This window comes from Homo sapiens, chromosome 4, assembly GCF_000001405.40.
Source record: "Homo sapiens chromosome 4, GRCh38.p14 Primary Assembly".
Classification (NCBI taxonomy): Eukaryota; Metazoa; Chordata; class Mammalia; order Primates; family Hominidae; genus Homo; species Homo sapiens.
Genome location: NC_000004.12, coordinates 178,808,114 through 178,823,435, shown reverse-complemented (window position 1 = coordinate 178,823,435; position 15,322 = coordinate 178,808,114). Strand labels below are relative to the sequence as shown.

Here is a 15,322-nt window from a genome sequence, read left to right as displayed (position 1 = left end):
CAACTTCTCACGCTCCTTATAAGCCCCTGTTATTCACAAGACAGGCTGATGTGGAGATGTTCTATACACAAAACGTAAGAATTAAACCAATGGGGAAAACGTTTGAATAAATTAAGCTATGTGTAAGTATTCAGATGATTAATTAAAAATGGCAAAAAAGAAAGTGGTTACCATTAAAATGGTAGTGTTTTAATATAAGAGATTAGGTGGTGTGATTGTTCTACCAACTCCTCAGATAGTAAAGGATTGTGACAAATTTATTCAATTTATCCCAGCCCTAATGAATTTACCAAAAAAAAAAAAAAAATCTTAGGAGGATGATGCAAGAGAGCTATCTATAGATCCTCTATAACCAGTGCCAATTAATACAATATGAGGTTAAAAGTGGATTCTGATTCTGATTATAGGATTGTACACATTCTCTTGGCACAACCCCAAGAAAGGGATCGGAAATTGTTTGTTCTATAAGTAAAATGCCTTTGACATAGTGGAGGAATTTTATGGGTATTACTGGACACTGGTGTACAATGTAATACCACACACAAACCTGTTTATTGAAAGGTAAAGGCAATATAATTGTTAAGTGGATCAGATGATAATATAACTGTAGAAGGAATAAACAGCAAAATAAACAGTAAAACTATGCTTCAAAATAGGAGCTAATAAATAAAAGTTATAATGGTTTTTATATACTGATATAGTTTGGATGTGTGTCCTTGCTCAAATCTCATAATGAAATGTAATCTCCAGTGTTGGAGGTGGGGTCTGGTGGGAGACGATTGGATCATGGGGGCGGAGGAATTCTCATGAATGGTTTAGCGCCATCCCACTTGGTACTGTACTCAAGAGAGTGAGTTATCTGGCCTCATACCTTGTCTACGCCATCCCTGCACAGAGTTCCTAACCTGTGGTCAGTAAGGAATGTCACTTTCTAACAGGTCTGGGAGCTCCAAGTTTATCCTGGGACCTTACAAGCAAAGAATCTCCCAACTCACAAGTATTTGAGGATACAAACACATGGCCGGGCACGACTATTTTTTTTTTTTTTTTTTTCCCAAAGTGCTAGGATTACAGGCGTGAGCCACCGTGCCCAGCCCTGGGCTCAGCTTTAAAGGTCTTATCTGAAATTCCTTGTGGAACAGAGTTCCATCCAAGCCAATTGAAAAGGCCTATGTAGAAATAACCATTCTTGCTGCATTTTATGCAAATAATCAGGCCAAGTATAACAATAAAGTTTATTCTACAAATAATACACACGGTCCTATCATAATTTATTCTTACCAAAAAAATAAGGACTGGAGAAAGGAATTGTGCTCCAAAGCTTATCATACTTTTGTCATTAAATCCTAGTCTCATTAACTGTTTTTAAGCTTTTTGCCTACGTTTTAGATGAACCCCGCCTATTCCTGTGAAGCAAGTGGTGAGCTCCTGCAGCTTGGAAGAATCAAAAAGGGATGGGTAATGTAAAAATCTGGATCAATATGTTAGTTCTGGGCACTTATCCTGCAAATTCTGCCAGGTAATGAAAATGAGTAGGGTGCCCATAACCTGGAGGTTTATTTGTTTGGGAAAATGAAACCAAGAAACTTCATAGACACCCCAAAGCGAAGTTCTATATCTTGGCAAGTAAAATTTTAGATGGAAATTATCTACTACACCACACTTGTGGGAATTGCTATACTCACTCTACTATTTGCAACAGGGTTATTATACATGGTAGCACCTCCTAAGTGAAATATTGGACAGAGAGCTTATGTCTTGTGTTAGTATTTGGACACTGTATACTCAGTACTATAACTCAAATTGTTTCCTCTCACCTAGAAGCAATCAAACTCCAAGCCGTGCTGCAAACTGAATCACCCATGGACACACCATTCTTCTGAGGACTCTTAGATCCAGCCCAGAGGGAGCCCTAGCTGCTGTTCCCCATTCAACGCCCCTTTTCAGCAGGAAGTAGCCAGAAAGAGTTGTTGTCCAAAACCCCCTAACAGCAGTTAAGGTGACATCTCCACAGGAGGAATATTATAGGAGTTACTACAAATTATTTTAGGTAGATAGAGAGGAAAAGGGGTCCTTGGGAAGTTTTTGTTTCTTTTAAAGCAGCTCCAGAAACATTTCTTGTCTAGCAGGAAAGCCCCAGTTTTTAGAGCCAGGTGGCAAGTTTTGATATGCAAATGCAGGCCATGAGAAACTGGGTCCACCCAAACATGGCGATTCCTCCGTCTTCTTCCTTGCCCCAACATGTGCCTGGAAACATGGCTGCTTGTACATATCCCCACGTGTGTAGAACATCATGGTGCCCTGTATTTGCATATTAAAAGGCTAGGGTGGGAGGGCCATTTTTTTTCACAAGCTACATGAGTAACATGCCTGGTCAAACCAATCCCCTGAGCCCTGTGCAAATCAGACACCGCCTCCTCCAGCCTCCTCATATAACTGGCTGATTTCCTTGCACTCAGGATTTCCTCTCTCAGCTTTGGAGACCCCCTCCCTCTGTCTCTGTATGGGGGAGCTTCTTTATTCTTTCTTGCTTATTAAACTCTCCACTCTTTGAAACTAACAAACAAACAAAAAAAAAACAAAAAAATAAAAAAGATAGTTCTCATGAGCTTTGGTCATTTAAAAGTGTGTAGCGACAGGGCACGGTGACTCACACCTGTAATCCCAGCACTTTGGGAGGCTGAGGCTGGCGGATTGCTTGAGGTCAGGAGTTCGAGACCAGTCAGGCCAACATGGTGAAACCCCACTTCTACTAAAAATACAAAAAAATTTGCCAGGCATGTTGACGTGTGACTGTAATCCCAGCTACTCAGGAGACTGAGGCAGGGGAATTGCTTGAACCGGGGAGGTGGAAGTTGCAGTGAGCCGAGATTGTACCACTGCACTCCAGCCTGGGCGACAGAGCAAGACTCAGTCTCAAAAAAAAAAAAAAAAAAGGTGTGTAGCACGCCGCCCCCAACATCGCTCTCTTGCTCCCGCTTTTGCCATGTCTAGTGACTGCTCCTATTTTGCCTTCGACCATGAGAAAAACTCCTTGAGGCCTCCCCAGAAGCCCAGCAATGCTGGCGCCATGCTTGTACAGCCTGCAGAATCATGAGCCAATTAAACCTCTTTCTTTATAAATTACCCAGCCTCAGTTATTTCTCTATAGCAATATAAGAATGGACTCTTACACATACCCATACACAAATATATTACTGAGATAAATGTGATGTCTGTATGAAGTGTGATGGATATGGGTTTACAGGTGAAAATATTATCTTTGTCTTGTTTTAACTGGGTATTTTAGGTGGAACCTTTAGGTCTATTTATAAGCACTCACATGGTAATTTTTAAAACAATACAAAATACCCAGAGACAGACTATCAAGAATTTTTGTCTTAACTTTAAAAGCATGTTAAATGCAATTATAATAATAGCCACAAATCCCTTCTTTTGTGGTTTGTCAGAAAGGAGACCTCTAGGAAAAACTTATAGATCCTCAAGTCTAACTCTAGACTACAAAGGATTAAATACATTTGTACCTACAAAAGTATCAGCTGGGTTCAATACAGTATTAACAATTCAGCAATGTGCAGTGACTCATGTCGGTAATCCCAGCACTTTGGGAGGCCGAAGTGGGTGGATCACTAGGTCAGGAGGTCAAGACCAGCCAGACCTACATAGTGAAAGCCGGTCTCTACTAAAAAAAAAAAAAAAAAAAAAATACAAAAATTAGCTGGGTGTGGTGACGGGTACCTGTAGTCCCAGCTACTTGGGAGGCTGAGGGAGGAGAATCGCTTGAATCTTGGAGTTGGAGGTTGCAGTGAGCCAAGATGCCACTACACTCCAGCCTGGGCAACACAGCGAGACTTTGTCAAAAAACAACAACAAAAAAAAAAAAAAAAAAAAAACAAACAAAAAAAGCAAAACCTGGGCAACAAGATAAAGGAGATTGGTATTCTGTGATGAATTGGACTAACATTTTCTTCTTAATTTCTATCTTGCAAGAAAATCAAAGCCAATTTGAATTCATGTGTGATGGACTCCAGTATTTATTTACTGTGCTTTCTCAAGCATATTTAAATTTTTTTGCTTATTTCTGCAACCTGGTGAGATGAGACTTAAGTTTTATCCAGGTTAGAAGTATAATTTGCTATCTTTATTATATAATACTCATATCTCAATCTGAATATTAAGCTAAAACAGAATCTCTAGTGCCAATTAATCATATGACCAAAGGAAGTACCTGTACCAAATAAATGTTAAAATGAAGAGAATTACTTATTCCTCAAGCAATTAAAAATAGGTTATTTTCTTGAAATCAAAACAAGGAGGATAAAGTTTGAATGTATTGTTTGATTTGTGAAGATATCGTCTGTCACATCTGGAAATTTCAGTAACCCTGATTTACAAAGATATGAGGAAAAAAACTGAATTTTCTTGATGTTCTGGACAACTGCAGGCTCTCTTGAAGCCTCAAAGAACTAACACACCATAGATTCCTTTGGGACAACGCTACCGTGATGTTCAAATGACATTGTGTCAGCAACTCACACACAAACAGAAGCCTTTGGCAAAAGCCCATGATTGCCAACCATTGGCTATTGTGGGGATTTGGGATTAGAAATTATCTGGGTTTACCTCCAGGCATAACTTTTTAAAAGACAATTGCTAGCCTATTATTGAACTTCAGTTGAAATTGTTAATGTTACATAAAGACATAAAATTATTTTAACACCTGAAAACTCCATAATGTCATGGGTTATATCAGAACAACATTCTGTAAGGAAGGGAAATGCATCCTAAAATAGAAAGGGTATGTACAACAATCTATGTCAGGGCACCTTTGAGGACAACTATCGTAATTAAAGAAGAAGCTCTTAGCCTTTGAGCTCTACATTAGGCCTTCCTGGTTATTTATCTAATTAATATCTGAAGGCACCACTTTTTATAACTGTTTACCAGAATATGACAGAGTGGCATGGTTTACAGAGGGTAGTAAGGAATAGAGGGCTGAAATTCAAACTGAAGGCAGCTGTATTGCAACTGTTCAAGGTTGTATATTGAATGGAGAAGGAAAAGAAAATCTCAACAGACAAGATAAAAAGTGGTAATCTTCATAACATCATAGAGAATAAATAATAGTAGTCACTATATTAAGAGATGTCAGGCCGGGCACAGTGGCTCATGCCTGTAATCCCAGCACGTTGGAAGGTTGAGGCTGGTGGATCATTTGAGGTCAGGAGTTGAAGACCAGCCAGGCCAACATGGTGAAACCTCATCTCTACTAAAAATACAAAAAGTTAACCAGACACGGTGATGGGCACCTGCAATCCCAGCTACTTGGGAGACTGAGACAGGAGAATCGCTTGAACACCGGAGGCGGAGGTTGCAGTGAGCTGAGATCGTGCCACTGCACTCCAGTCTGGGCAACAGAGTGAGAGACTCTGTCTCAAAAATAAATAAATAAATAAATGTCAATAAATGCAAACCTAGCAGACCATTCTCCCTTGTCTAAAGTTAATGGTCTAAATTGGTATGGCGAAGATTTAAGAAATATTCAATTCAGAGTAATCAACGTTTCTGATATATCTTGATGATACCGGATGAACAATTACAATGATTCTAATGTCACCCTCTCTTTTGGTTTCCATTTTGCAGGTTTTATCTATTACACAGGGTGCATTCTTAGGGAGTAAGTAGGATGTGTTGCTTCCCAAAACAGAGGACTTTGTTCAATAGCAGGGACGTGGAAAATATGTAACTTTTAAACTAATAAATGCCCTTTTCAAAAAGGTGTCCATACATAGTGGTTAGACTATCTCCTGCTTTTACAACTCCTTATAAAATCATGTGCCCCAATGCTTATAAATCATGTATGCATTTGTGAACGGAGGGCAATGATGAAGGTAAAGTGTCATTTAGGGCATAACTTGGAGCCCCGTGAGTCCTTTCAGTTATTCAACGCCATGTGATTGTCACATGCACTGCCTCTCTAGCAATCCCTAGCTTCAGATTACATCCACTCTATTCCCAAAGCATGTGAACTTTTGCTAATAAGTGTCTCTACAGGTGAAGGCATTACATAAAAATTTATTTCTTGTAATTTTCAAAAATGGAGGGGGAATTCACATAACATAAAATTAACCATTTTAAAGTGAACCATTCAGTGACATTCTGTAGATTCACAATGTTGTACAATCACCACCTCTCTAGAAATCCCATGCGTATCAAGCATTTATTCCACAATCTCCGTTTCCCCAGCCCCTGTCAAGCATCAATTTTCTATCTTTATAGATTTCCCCTATGCTGGATATTTTATATAAATGGAATCACACAGCATGTGACCATTTTTTGTCCAGCTTCTTTTACTTAGCAAAATGTTTTCGAGGTTCCTCCACTGTGTAGTCCAGCACTGTCACTGATGCTTGGAAAAAAATCTGTGAATAAAGTAGATGCATATTCACTCTTAGGAGTTTGTAATTTAGCAGCTAAAGAAAGTCAATGGCAATAAATGCAACATAAAAACAATTTTAAATTTTATAGTATTGCGGAAGATGATCGATATGAGGAAAAGAAAAAGTAAGGCAGGGTAGGTGGGATTTTGAGAGACGAGGGAGGACTGGGTGCAATGATATATGATTGACCAAGTTAGGACTCAAAGAATGTGGAATTATACTAAAGAAGACAAAGAGGTGCGAACATTGGTGAAATTGAGGTGATGGGGCACATCCAGTGCAGAAAAAAATAAGGCTGTGGAATGCTCTGATGTGGAAGTGCTCTCGGTGTGGTCAAAAAACAGCAAAGGAGGCTGATGTGCTGGATCCCAGAGATTAGGTGAGAGTGATAGAAGGCTAGAGAGATAAGGGTTGGGAGGTGGCACAGATCACATACAGCAGGGTCATGTATACCATTGGCAGGACCTTGACTTTTTTACTCTGATCTGAGGACTCCTGGGAGAATTTTGACATTATATTTATGCTTTAAAATTACCTAATTGCTCCATTGAAAATAGATTGGGTGATATGGTAGATTTAATAATTCAGAGAAGAGATAATGATGACTCAAACTATTAGGTAGTAAAGGATAGTGAGGCATGCATGTATTCTCAAGCACTATTAACAATTCCCTGATGAATTGGACGTAAAGGGAAAGAGTGAAAAGTGACTCTGGTGTTTTGGGGCTGAGCAATTGAGAAGCGAGATGTGATAGGAGCGTTTGGATGGCCAATCACTGGAGACAGAATTTAGGACCAGCATGCTAGTCTCTTGGAAGATTTGTGGGAAAGTTTAGTTTTAGCTCCTGATTTTGAAAAATGAGAAGTCTACCAGGAGGAAACCGGCAGAGGATCTGATGCTGAGATGGGAGATTATGATACACATTAGCCAGGCAGCACAAGGAAAATGCCTGCTGTTGATGCCGAAGCACAGCACATAGAGGAAACATGGCATCTTTCTGATTTGGAATTTAATTATCTTCTTGAGGAAAATTAGTCCCTCGGAGAATCCCAGCAGTGGAAAAATTTCAGAGAATGTGGGAAAGCAGGAAGTTCAGCACATATTGGCAGGTCTTGGCACTCCTTATTCTAGAACAGGGACTGGGAAATTATGGCCCACAGGCAACATCCAGCCTGCTGCATGTGTTTGTAATAAAGTTTTATTGGAACACAGAAACATGCATTTGCTTACATTTTGGCTGTGGCTGCTTTAATGCTACAGTGCTGCAGTTGACTGGCTGCAGTAGAAACCATATGGCATGCCAAGCCAAAAATATCTGCTACCTACTGTTTTCCAGAAAATGTTTGCTGACCTCTGTCCTTGAATATGTTTGAGGGGAAAAAAAAATCAGCTCACCCTCCTGATTAGATGCTGTAGTGCAGCTTCTATAAATGCTTCTATTTTCATGGTTTCATTTTTTGTTTATATATTTCTTGTCTTATGATCACTGTCCAAACAAATTCAAGATTTAATTAGAGTTTATGTCAGAAATCAGTGCTAATAACACTTCTACAAATAATGGTTATGACCGGGCTTGAAGATTCTGAGGCTCTATTAATGACTGATTATTGGTTATTGAGGGAAATAATCTCTGTCAAGGTATTCCAGGCTCATGGAGGAATTTATAAGATTCCCCAAACAAAATTATTTAGTAACTGAAGTTGGTACAAAAGTTATGAAGTAATACTTCTTGGTATTTTATTTCCCCTATTCAGACCTGCAGAAGAAATATGTGAGTATTTACATAAATGACTCATACCTCTGATAGCAATGTTTATTTATTTGTTTGTTTGTTTTTATTATTATTATTTATGAGACAAGTTTTGCTTAGTCACACAGGCTGGAGTGGAGTGGTGTGATCATAGTTCACTGCACCCTTGATCTCCCAGGCTCAAGCAATCCTCACAACTCAGCTTCCCAAGTATCTGGGACTGCAGGTGTGTGTCACCATGACCAGCTAATTTTTTTTTTTTTTTTTTGTAGAGACAGGTTCGCACTATATTGCCCAAGCTGGTCCTGAACGCCTGGGCTCAAGCAATCCTCCTGCCTCAGCCTCCCAAAGTGCTGGAATTACAGGTGTGAGCCACCACACCCAGCCATAATATTTAAAGAAATAAGATAATGATATATTAGAATCATATACAACCATCTATTACTCTTTTCTGCTCAGGCAATATCTTATACAGCTTCAGAAAAAACAAGTATTCCAGGACTCGGGAAGCACGTAAAACCTTTAAAAACTTATAAAAGTTTCAAATAAATCCTGGAAAATGTTAGTCAAAGGCAAAGAAAGTGTTTTAATTACTTTATTCTAGAATTTCAAATGCCTTTACACAGAAGATATCTGCCAGCTGTTCTTCATTTCCACAGAGAGGAGAGCAACCGATGCAGACTTAACTAGCAGTAATAAAGCGAGCAATAAGGAGATTCTACTAAAAGCGAGAGTGAAAACATTTTAGGGTACGTTAAGAAATCTTCTCTGGAGATTTTTTTTAGTCATGGATAGATTCTCATTTGTCTGGAATGGTGAGCATGTGGCCCAGGAAAAAGTTAGGGAGAGGACTAGATTTACTTTTCTGTCCTTAAAGTTTTGTAGGTGACTTTAAAATTTGCAATGTATTTCTCAACACTTCCAACATATGGGAGCTAATTCATGCAAGACATTTCATAAATTGTGGGTTTTAGTTTAGAATCATAAGATCTACTTTCCATCCTTGAACAATGAATAGAAAACTGAAAATATTTTAAAGACAATGTTTAGCAGATAGCTCCAAAATTTAATTTCATATGTTTTCTATTAAAGATTTAAAATCTTAGGAAGAGATATTGAAGGCTACCTTTAAGTTTTCACAATAATTTAGAAAATAGGACCAAGTATTTTCAGGTCTCATTTCAAATCAAGAAAAAAAAATTTGGAAGAAAAATAAAATGTATAAGCAATTATCTAGATGTTCAGTATATGTGGTACATTTATTTTTTAATATGAAAGTATTTAATTACATGTGGAATAAAATTTTTTATTATTCTTTTAGCTGTTTAGGTGAGCTATTAAAATAGGCCCCTAAGAAGAAAAAATAAATATAATAGCAAAGTAAAAAAAATAAAATATTAAAGGAAGCACTTTCAAAAAATTGTGGCAAAATATTTAAATTAAAGAAGAGAAAAGCAAAAAAGGAAAACAAAATTCATTTGGATTATTAGCCTCGTTTGTAAGGCTTTTCTGTCAGGGAGGCATTTCAGGAGTCATGGATAAAGTATACTTTGAAGTGGAAATATCAGATTTCATATTCTGGTTCTAACGCATGAAGATTTGTGATTAGGAAAGATATTTCACTTTCCTGAACCTCTGAGACTCCATTTTTAAAAGAAAAACGAGTTTCATGGTGTTATTAATAGCAGCAGGAGACAGTCAAATTCCTAAGCAGATAGGAGGGCGTCCCTGGTAAAACCTGACCAAGCCAAAGACCGTTTTGCCTGAAAACCAAGCTTCTGGACCAGAGTGAGAACTTCTATTCCGGTTTGTCCACTCTCTCTCTATTGATTCCTTCTGGATGAAGCTTTTTAACCAATCAAATGTTGCCTTTTCCAAGGCTACCTTACAGCACACACCTCCTCATTGCAAACCTATAAAAACCCTGGACTCAGCCTTTCAGACATTTATCTGCTTTGGGCCTCCTTCTCACACAGAGGGGTACCCACTTCGGGTCCCCTCTCATTGTGGAGAGCTTTTCTGTCACTCAATGAAATTCTTCTCTGTCTTGCTCTCTTACCGGTGTCCACGTACCTCATTCTTCTGGTCACAGAACAAGAACCTGGAACCTGCCGCATAGTGGCAGTGAAAAGGGCAGCAGCACGCTTCTGGTTGGCTCGCCCATCTAGGCAGCGGGACCGAATGAGTTGTGACACGCCCTCGTTCGCTCGGCTGTAAATGGCGGGAATGAGAGAGAACTGTAACACTTCCTGGGGGCCCACACCTCAGAACTCCCCGAGCAGAATCTGTGACACCTCTTTGGAGTTCCGTGGTCACTGTTGTCTCCGAGTTTTGGGGTGCCACAGCGCTCCCCTTGTCTGAATGCTGGCTCCCAGACATGGAAGCCCCTTGTGGCACTTCTGGTCCTGCCATGGGCTGGACCATGGTGACCACACAGCCATGGTGGTCACGGGATCCAGGCCAGGGAGCGAGTCGAGTGCAGCCTGCCAGGTTGAGCGGGCTGGAGTGAAACCCGGGCAGAGGGGCCACCAGCCACAGAAGTTTCTGGCTGGCAAAGCGGCACTGAAAGTGTCCTGTGTCATTAATATAATTAAAATAGTTAAGAAATATAAAGCACTTACAAACGGTACTGATGACATGGGCAACATTCAGCAAATATGGGCTAGTCAGTGTCTCAGTGGAAGTAATGTAGTAATAATAGGCATGACAGTGGTACTAATTACTATTATAAAGTATTTTATTGATAATGTAACATTAAGATATATGGTTTTATGTCGTTTACTAAAATTACTAACTTTGAAGTATGTAATATAATGAAATAGTACATTAAACATAAAATAGTGTATATATGGTAAAGTGGAATGGCACTAAATAACTTAAAAAATATGAATTAGGCATGGCTATATTCTGGACAATGTTAACAGCAGAACCGTTCAGGACTTGATCAATCTGTTTTGACTAATATAACTTTAAGGAATATCATTATAACGTTCTTTCAGCTCATCCGCAAAAGGTAAAATAAAAAAAAAACTTAAAGAAATGTAACAAATTAAAAGTTTTAATACATATTTTGAAAAGAAAGCACATAAAGGAAATTAAATGCCACTGATATAAAAAAATTTTATGTAGTCAGAAAAATCTAGCCAATGATAACCACTTAGTAAGTGATAGAGCCTGGATTTGAACCAAGGAAGTATAAATTCAGAGTGGATATTTTTAACTACGAAACTATAGACTCCTACCTGCAAGTCTAGTAGAGAGGAATTGCATAAATCATCCCTAAAGTCTTATTACATATCCCAGAAGAATACTGGATTTGCAAGAAGATAAAACATATTTTTGAATATATATAAAATGAAATTTTCTGGTCTTATAAAATTATTTTATGTTAATATTAAATTATGCTATTATTTGGAATTGCAAAATATTCTCTTTTTATAAAGCATTCATTTTTTCCTCACAAAACTGAAACAAGATCGTGTAGATTACTGATTAGATATACATGACTTTGTAACACCATCTGTCACCATGAAAAGGTCTTTAGAGTTTTTATCAAAAATAATTTCATTTAAATTTGCCATAGGAAATACTATATTTGAAGTTGTCATAGACACAGAGATTGCAGGAGAGGTAGTCTTTGTGGTTTCTTATCAGTCTTAAATGCCTAACTGTGTCTCTGAATTCATTTTTCTTCCTCTAAGAGTTATTCATTATAACCGCCACATTATTATCTGCTGCAGCAATACATTGAGTGTTAGGCCAAACAACTTCAACAAACGCCTTTATTCCAGATTAATTTATTTTTAGCCTTTTTCTTTCTTCATCTTTTTTGGTTGACTCTTGAGGGTAACTCTAAGTAAATTATTCAACTTCTGAATCATTGTGATTCCAATTTCCAATTATGATTCTGATTTCTGTAAAACTGTGCATAACATGTTTCCTACTATATTGTGAGGGTCTTTTCCCCAGATTACTTGAAATCTGATAAATGTCAAACTATGGGAATTTTTCTAGTATATATTCAGACATTCTACCTTGAAGTTTACTTCTTCTTCCTGTCTTATCTAATTACAAAAATAAATTTATATATTATTCTAGGGTATCTGATGATTTTGGCAATAATAATGTAGTTGGTAGTAGCATTGGTAGCAAACATATCCTATTTTTACTATTTGATTTAAAATGTTTCACCTACATCTTCAGGTAAAGAATGGAAAGATACATTACCTCCTAAGTTGATAAATTGCCTGCCCCACTCCATCTGCCCAGTCTCCTCTAACAGTTCTTTTTAGCCTATTATTATGAATGGAACATTTATTTAAAAAACAAAACAAAACAATAGCCAGACACGGTGACTCACACCTGTATTCCCAGCACTTTGGGAGGCCAAGGCAGACAGATCACAAGGTCAGGAGTTCGAGACCACCCTGGCCAGCAAGGTGAAACCCTATCTCTACTAAAAATATAAAAATTAGCCAGGCATGGTGGCGCACGCCATCAATCCCAGCTACTCAGGAGGCTGAGGCAGGAGAATTGCTTGAACCCAGGAGGCAGAGGTTGCAGTGAGCTGAGATTGCACCACTGCACTCCAGCCTGGGCAACAGAGCGAGACTCCGTCTCAAAATAAATAAATAAATAAAATAATAACGATAATAATTAAAGAAAATGTTCTAATTTGCATCACAGCCTTGAAACAATCAGTTAATTTTCTTTTTGAAAAGTTACAAGGATCTAACTATGCACAGTATACAGTATACACTTACCGCATGCACAGTCTGCACCTTGTCTTTTAGAAATCAAAGAAAGCAGTCTCAGAGAAGGTTTCAGTGTGAAATGGAGCTAATTTTTACACATTTTGAAAAAGCACATAAATTTCAGCATCAGTACTTAAGCTGTTCTTAAATTGAGAAAGCATAGTTCTATGATCCTCATTAGTCTGGTCTACTCACTGCTACAATTTAATGATTGAAATACATAATTGTCTTCCATATATATTACTTTATATTATTAGGTTACAGATGGAGCTATGTGGGGTTTTTAAAATTCTGAAGTAACATGCAAAGCTGTTACCATTCTCTGATTTATTGTGGGGCAGCTACAAGCAGCAGCCACATGGGCTGCGCAAAATGCAGAAGTTGTCGAAGTCCCTGGGCCCACAGAACTGGAAAGTCAACATGAGATAGATGGGAAAACCTCTGCTTGCCCTGCCTGCAGCAACTCCTCTGGCCATTTTAGACCTGGCACTGATGGATTTCTGAGGGAGTGACATTCATCTGCCCTTGGGCAGAAACACATCATCTAGCCTGAGGAATGTAAAGACTGAATGCTTTTAAGGCAAAATCTAAGATCTTTTTTAAAAGTAGCAATTTTAAAGTTTTCTTCTTCCCCAAACTATTAATATGAATATAGAGACAACTTTTCTTTAATCTGTACTTCATGTATCAACATGAAAGACATTTTTAATCTTGACTTTATAAATTCTCTAGATATAAGCATCTGATGGAAAAGTGAACTTTCTAAAACCTCAATACAGAATATTCAATGCTTCCTTTCCCTCACATTGACTTCTACTTATTACAGCCACATAAAAAAAGTCAACAAAAGTACCACATCCCTTGTTACACAAACTCAATATGCGCTCCTCAAATATGCTACTGGGATCCTTTGATGCAATGTGAATGTATTCAGGGATTTTCCTTAACCTCCATGGCAGTTCTAGATATATGGATTCAATCAAGAATACTAGAAAATTTTGCTTTTACAAAGTAGTCTTTTTCTTTCATAAAATAGGCAATACAAATATGTAAATATAACTCAACCTCATAATCTCAATCTCAAGGTATCTTAAGTGAAATTTAAACAAAAGTAATTATTGGCATTTTTCTATTAGTTTAGAAAGAGAAGAAAAATATCCATATTATTCCATTCTGCACAGAAATGGGCCTTTTCTATTATTATTGATATTCATAAAAAATCTCTAATTCTTTATGAATTAGAATAATTCTAATTCACAAAATTTTAGAGAATTCTAATTCTTGAAAATAATTTCATCTAAATGTGCAAATTGTTCATTAAAGCCTTGTTCGTAATAATAATTTTTTTTTTAAATCAAATGATTATGTTTAGGGCACTGGATAAAGAAATTATGCTACTCCCATGGAATAAATGACTTAGGATATATTTAAAAGAAAGACATGTTTCATATATACTTTTAATAGAAATATCATTAAAGAAAAGTATAGAACGGCTTTGTGTTATAATCGTGGTTACTGCATTATTTTACACACATGCACACACACACACACACACACACATGCTCTTTTGAAAAATTACGTCCCCAGATGTGAACAGTGAATATGAGTTAGAAGTAGGAGATTTTGCTTATAATTTTTTTCTATTTTTCTATTTTTTAATTAAAAATAGATATCATTGTTCTAATTGTAAGGAAATACATGTTTTAAAGTGAAGTAATAGGGACATGTCAGAATATAGCACTTTGATATTTTTAAAGCACTAAGTCTTGAGGTTTTTCAATTAAACAAGACTGTCCACATGTTATCTGGTGTACAATTTACTAGTCAAAAGAAACACTAAGAGTCGGGTTCCATCTTAAAAGTTTCCTTGCCTTATCCATTTCATCCCTCAAAACAAACTGAGGCCCGTGAATGGTTAAAAAACAAGCAAATAAAAACTCACACTAACATTATTTGTCTAAGATTTAATCTTGCTTTTCTGAATCCAAATTCAATTTCTTCTCTCTACAATGTGTTAATGTTAGACATATATCTCTTTAAGAGTATAGGGAGAATAGCCAGGCATGGTGGCACAGGCCTGCAGTCTCAGCTACTAGGGGGGCTGAGGTGGGAAGATCCCATGAGCCTGGGAGGCAGAGACTGCAGTGAGCCGAGTTCATGCCTTTGTATTTTAACCTGAAAATCTTGCAAAACAGTTAATGGAAATGAGGAAGTAGTAATGTATTCTGCTTTAGAAACATAGTTATCTAAAATGATCTAGAAAAGTGAAGTTGAAATGGCATCTAAAGATTTATATGATGATCATAGTGGAACTTGGGGATAAAGATTTTCTATGTGCTAGAGGTTTTCAGGTCTAATATTTATTTTTCATAATTGTG

The 15,322-nt window shown here is 37.4% G+C and overlaps 1 long non-coding RNA gene across 2 annotated transcripts; it reads right to left on the bottom strand.

Moving 5' to 3' along the window:
• Positions 1-6,055: 6,055 nt before the first annotated feature.
• Positions 6,056-10,396, bottom strand: LOC105377563 (uncharacterized). 2 transcript variants are annotated; one of them, XR_939515.2, is made up of 3 exons: positions 10,264-10,396; positions 7,836-7,926; positions 6,056-6,422 (listed from the first exon to the last, which is right to left on the bottom strand). It is a non-coding gene; the product is annotated as an uncharacterized LOC105377563 (long non-coding RNA). The 2 variants fall into 2 exon arrangements; XR_007058391.1 differs by lacking the exon at positions 7,836-7,926.
• Between the last annotated feature and the right edge of the window lie 4,926 nt (positions 10,397-15,322).